At 41.6% G+C, this 6300-nt stretch overlaps 1 annotated feature.

Annotated features, from left to right (window-relative positions):
- Positions 4450-4999: an enhancer, noted in NCBI's record as "OCT4-NANOG-H3K4me1 hESC enhancer chr15:28837557-28838106 (GRCh37/hg19 assembly coordinates)". NCBI's record gives its function as "activates a minimal SCP1, AML or CMV promoter by ChIP-STARR-seq in primed H9 embryonic stem cells {active_cell/tissue: H9 hESC(primed)}" and the evidence as "EXISTENCE:reporter gene assay evidence [ECO:0000049][PMID:30033119]".

Raw genomic sequence — 6300 nt, 5'->3', positions numbered from 1 at the left:
AATCTGGTGAAACCCCGTCTCTATTAAAAATACAAAAATTAGCCAGGTGTGGTGGCGGGCACCTGCAGTCCCAGCTACTCGGGAGGCTGAGGCAGGAGAATCACTTGAACCCAGGAGATGGAGGTTGCAGTGAGCCGAGATTGTGCCACTGCACTACAGCCTGAGCGACAGAGCGAGACTCCTTGTCAAAAAAAAAAAAAAAAAAAAAGATCACATTAACAATTTCAACACAGAAGTTGAAACTAGAAAAAAGTACCTAAAGTGGCAGTTAAAGAAACTGTCAAACATTTCAAACTAAACATTTTAAAGGGATGTGTTTAATATAATTATACCTCAATAAAGTTGATATGTTTAAAAAATGGAAATTCTGGAATAGAAAAATATAATAGTAAAATTTAAAACTCAATGGATTTGATTAAAATCAGATTGGGAAGGCCTGTGCTTCCTCCACCTATAAAGGATGAATTCTGTAGAAATCACTTCCTTGCTATAATCAACTAGAAAACCAGACAGAATATACCGAAAAGCTGTTACCAAAAACTGGACAACAGACAGCCCAGAGCTGGGATCCCTGAGAGAAGGGAAACACTGCCCAGAAGCAGCTTCCAGGCTGCAGCACAGGAAAGGGGAACCCAAATAGAGCCCAAAGAACTTGCTGAGCTCAGGAGACAGATCAGCTATACGTAGGCCAAATGACAAGAATACAGCAAGCTCCAGAGATGAGTGGAGGGGCCCCTTGAGTATCTGTCTGAGTACTACTCTGAGCATAGGTTAAGAAAACTATGGAATACTGGGGAAAGCAGCACTAGAAAGTAATAAGCAGCACTGCCATGATGCACAGTCTGGGAAAAGCCTGTGTTTCCACAAACAAGGACAGAAAGATCTTCTCATACACCAAGCATCAGGTGGAGTCCTGAGAACAGTATTGCCTTCGTTGTATGGATAAATGAGCCCAAGAGTAAAGCCTGTGTGGATCAGCCTAACAAACCTCAGAATCAAGCTTTGAAAAGATCAAACTGACCCCATGTAACTTACATGTATGGCAGAAGAAAACTAAGGCTCTTTAAAAAAATAAAACAAAATCCTGCACAGAAGATAAAATTAATGCCTAGCATTCAATCAAAAATTAGCAGGCATACAACCATGCCCCCATAACTAGGGCAATCAATCAATAGAAATGACAGAATCAATCAACAGAGATGGATCTAGAAGTGATCAGAGATTACAGAATTCACAGACAAGGACATTAAAAGCTCTCTTACAGAAATTCTCCCTATACTAATAGAAGGAAAGCATGAATGTTATAAGGAGTGAAACAGAAGATATAAAAAGGACTCAAATGGAATCTCTAGAAATGAAAATACAAAATGGATGGATGAGATTAACAGAACTGCATAACAGTTACAACCATAATCTACAATGTCTAAGCACATGGCTATGCCATGCTCTCTCCCTTAACACTCATGCAGTCTAGGTTTAACAAATAACTGTTTCATGCCCATCATCAGTTGCAGGTTGATCTACAGTCATCCAGTTGTCTAAAGATCTTTCTCCACTCCATTCCTAAGGAAGGGCTCATGAGAACAATACTTCCTAAGTTACAGCTCACTGAGAAGTTTGTGTGTTTTTCATCTGAAAAGTCGGTTTTGCTGGAACAAAAAATGCTTTACTCACATTTTCTTTTCTTGAGTGCCTTAAACAGGATACTCAATTTCTTCTTCATAAAGAATTGTCATCTGCTGGGCTCAGTGGCTCACTGCTGTAATCCCACCACTCTGGGAGGCCAAGGCAGGTGGACTGCCTGAGCTCAGGAGTTCAAGACCAGCCTGGGCAACATGGTGAAACCCCATCTCTACTAAAAATATAAAAAATTATCTGGGTGTGGTGGTGCACACTTGTAATTCCAGCCACTTGGGAGGCTGAGGCACGAGAATGGCTTGAACCTGGGAGGTGGAGGTTGCAGTGAGCTGAGATAGTGCCACTGTACTCCAACCTGGGCAACAGAGTGAGACTCTGTCTCAAAAAAAAAAAAAAAAAAAAGGAATTGTCATCAAAGTCCTACGGCTAAACCCTTTTCCTTTTTTTTATAACAAGTATTGCTAGTCTTTTCCAAGAACCAAAGTTAAAAGTTAGTTCTTTAAAACACCAGGCCAGGCACAGTGGCTCACACATCTAATCACAGCACTTTGGGAGGCCAAGGCAGGAGGATCACTTGAATGCAGAAGTTCTAGACCAGCCTGGACAACAAAGCAAGACCCTGCCTCTACAAAAAACTTTTTTTTTTGCTGCAAAATGCTCTTAATTAACCTGACAAAATGCCACATACAGGGTTACTGCATCTTTTTTATCATGGAATTTTGAAAACAAAAATTGTTCTCTTGAGGCAGCAGTATTTGGATATTAGAGGTAAAAACCACCCTTAGAATCCAGTCCTAAAAACATCAATGAATATTCCTATATTTACAAATTCTTCTATTTCTACATGTCATCTATCAACAGGATTATGAACCTGAAAGCCTGAGAATAGAATTTATCAAGATACTCATGTTTGTACTTTTTTTATCTACTGCCCTTTTTTATTTTTTTTGAGACAGATTCTCGCTCTCTCACCAGGCTGTAGTGCAGTGGCGCGATCTCAGCTCACTACAACCTCCGCCACCTGGGTTCAAGCGATTCTCCTGCCTCAGCCTCCTAAGTAGCTGGGACTACAGGCACGTGCCACCACACCCAGCTAATTTTTGTATTTTTAGTAGAGATGGGGTTTCACCATGTTCGCCAGGATGACCTCGATCTCCTGACCTCAGCCTCCCAAACTGTTAGGATTACAGGCTAAGCCACCACACCCGGCCATCTACTGATATTTCTAAGCATGAAGTGACATTTTTTTTTTTTTGAGAAGGAGTCTTGCTGTGTTGGCCAGGCTGGAGTGCAATGGCATGATCTCGGCTCACTGCAACCTCCACCTTCTGGGTTCAAGCAGTTCTCCTGCCTCAACCTCCCAAGTAGCTGGGATTACAAGCGCACACCACCACACCTGGCTCATTTGTATTTTTAGTAGAGACAGGGTTTCACCATGGGGGCCAGGTTGGTTTTGAACTCCTGACCTCAAGTGATCCGCCCTCCTCGGCCTCCCAAAGTGCTGTGATTACAGGCGTGAGCCACCGCGCCCAGCCGAAGTGACTATTTATATACAATAAGTTTAACTGTAAAAGCTTACATTTATGCGTGGTCATTTTTAATTGATGATTAGATGAAGAGACAAATAAATGGTCCCAGTTTAGCTACTGATATACTCAACAAACCTTGACGGACCTGAGGGCATTATGCTGAGTAAAGAAAATCATTTCCGAAGGTCACATATCACTTGGTAATCTCACAGTAACAAAATTATAGAGATGAAGAACAGATCAGTGGTTGGCAGGAGTTAGAGATGGTGGCAGAAGAGAGGCAGGAGAGAGATCTTTCTGGTGATGAAACAGTTCTGCATAGGAAATTGTAGTAGTAGTTATATTTACAGACACTTGATAGAATGGCACAGAACTACGCACACACATTGTACCAACTTCAATTTCTGGGTTTTTATACTCTATTATGGTTACATAAAATGTAACCACTGGGGCAGTATGCGCAAATATACAATGACCTCTCTAGTTTCTTTACAACTTCCTGAGAGTCTATTATTATTTCAAAATAAAAAGTTTTTTTAAAAATTGCTTCATGCATATCTAGTTTCATGTGCCACTTAAAAAAGAACCCAAAAATAGAAACTGTAGGAAATTCATCTGAGTGCAGCTTATGCAAGAAGGGGCAGGATAACTCCATTCTGGACCTATGCTCAAAGACATGCACCTTTACCTTACAACAAAACTGGCGAACAGGCATGTGTTTTAAGAATAAAAAGCTTTTAAGGTCTCATATATTGGTTTTTATGATTCCTTTGCTTAACTGACTTTTTGGTTTGCTAAAAAACTACCAATCACATCAGATTAGAAGTACTTTCACGGTAAAAATAAAAAGTGATGTGACTGACACCTCTTACCTCTGTAATGTATTACTCTTCACGAGAGCAGTGAAGGAAAACATGGTGATTCAATCACTCCACACATCAAGCAGAAAAGAGTGTTGAACAGGCCAGGCGCGGTGGCTCACGCCTGTAATCCCAGCACTTTGGGAGGCCGAGGCGGGTGGATCACTTGAGGTCAGGAGTTCAAAACCAGCCTGGCCCACATGGTGGAACCCTGTCTCTACTAAAAGTACACAAAATTAGCCAGGCGTGGTGGTGGACACCTGTAGTCCCAGCTACTCGGGAGGCTGAGGCAGGAGAATGGCATGAACCCAGGAGGCTTGCAGTGAGCCAAGATGGCACCAATGCACCCCAGCCTGGGAGACAGAGTGAGACTCCGTCTCAAAAAAAAAAAAAAAAAAAAGTGTTGAACAATTAAACTGTTTATATGTAATAACCAGATATATATGCCTGGCATAAAATGAGCCCTGCATTAGAGGTTGCTGGATGTAGGGTCCTAGGCCTGACGTATCCAAATAATGTCTATGATAAAGAAGTCAATAAGTGCTCTCTATAACACACAAGCATTATAAGTTTTCACACTCCAAAAACTCTTCCTTTCTAAAGTTACTAAAACTTTTAAGGGCATTTCAAACAAAAACAGCTGTGGAAAACAGATCGGTTAAATCCTATGGCTAAGAAACATCTTCCTATCCCATGTATTATTCATTACCCAGGTGTCAATTCTGTTTCCAATACAAAAGTCTCAAGCAGTGAAGCGCTTCCCACTCCAGCTGGGAGAGCCATCCTCAACAAGATAAGGGTAAAACCTGTGAGCACAAGGCTTCCATCTGCAATTCCTGTCTGCAGGGAAGCTCCCCAAAGAGGGAAACCATGTCTTATTCCTTACGGTAAAACACCACCATTCATTCCTTGTGTTTAACAACCAATGCTGGTGGAACATAAAACAAAACTTAGCAATCACTTTTTTCATGCTACTTAGACCTGTAACACATTTTTCCTCTGGTGCACACTATCCAAAACCTAGTCGTTTCCCTTACTCCTAGGAGGAATTTAGATGACTTTTTTTTTTGGCCAGGTGCAGTGGCTCACGCCTGTAATCCCAGCAATTTGGGAGGCCGAGGCAGGCAGATCGCTTTGAGGTCAGGAGACCAGCCAGGCCAACACAGTGAAACCCCATCTCTACTAAAAATACAAAAATTAGTCGGGCATGCATGGTGGCACACACTTGTAATCCCAGCTACTCGGAAGGCTGAGGTGGGAGAATCACTTGCATTCGGGAGGCGGAAGTTGCAGTGAGCCAAGATTGCGCCACTGCACGCCAGCCTGGGCGACAGAGCAAGACTGCGTCTCAAAAAAAAAAAAAAAAGACTTTCTAATCATATTGGAAATGTGTAACAAGGACCAAGTACTGTGTATTAAACTTAATAAATCAAAACAACAGGCCCTCTAAGATATAAATGGTGCTTCACTGTATGTTTATCTGCCCAACCCATCATAGGAACTCAATTCAGCATTAAACTGGTTTTAGATCAAGACACTAGAACTCATGTTTAGCAGTTATTAAATTACAATTATTAAGAAAAAAACTTCATTACGTAAAGTCCTTTACTCCAAAAAGTTTCTCAAAATACATAAACACTAATATAAAAACGACTATTAAAACTTTGCCTGAATCTCAGGATTTCAGAAATATGAAAGTACTCATCTCTCACGTCTCCCATCCACTTAAAATGACAAAACAGATCATTATAGCTAAATCAAAGGAAATGTTTAAAGAGAAACAAACCCAAAGAGTAACTACACCAATTCTTGACCCAATTCTCTGTACTCTGTCTTATGTAACATTACACTATGAATAACAATCCCATCATCCACAACAGCTTTTTTTTTTTTTTTTGAAAAAAAAGCTCTCATTGTCCAGGCTGGAGTGCAACGGCACAATCTTGACCCATTGCAACCTCCACCTCCCGGGTTCAAGCGATTCTCCTGCCTCAGCCTCCCGAGTGGCTGGGATTACAGGCATACACCACCACGTCTGGCTAATTTTGTATTTTTAGTAGAGACGGGGTTTCACCATGTTGGTCAGACTGGTCTCCAACTCCTGACCTCAGGGCATCCACCCGCCTCGGCCTCCCAAACTGCCGGGATTACAGGCGTGAGCCACTGCGCCCAGCCACGCAACACAGCTCTAAACACTGGACTCTCATATCCACCAACACTCAATACCTGTTTAAAAAGAAAAAAAAAATTAGGAAGGGGCAATAACACTTCAG

The sequence above is a fragment of the Homo sapiens genome, chromosome 15, assembly GCF_000001405.40.
Source record: "Homo sapiens chromosome 15, GRCh38.p14 Primary Assembly".
NCBI lineage: Eukaryota > Metazoa > Chordata > Mammalia > Primates > Hominidae > Homo > Homo sapiens.
The sequence above is the reverse complement of the archived record's forward strand: the minus strand, read 5'-3'. Positions and strand labels throughout refer to the sequence as shown.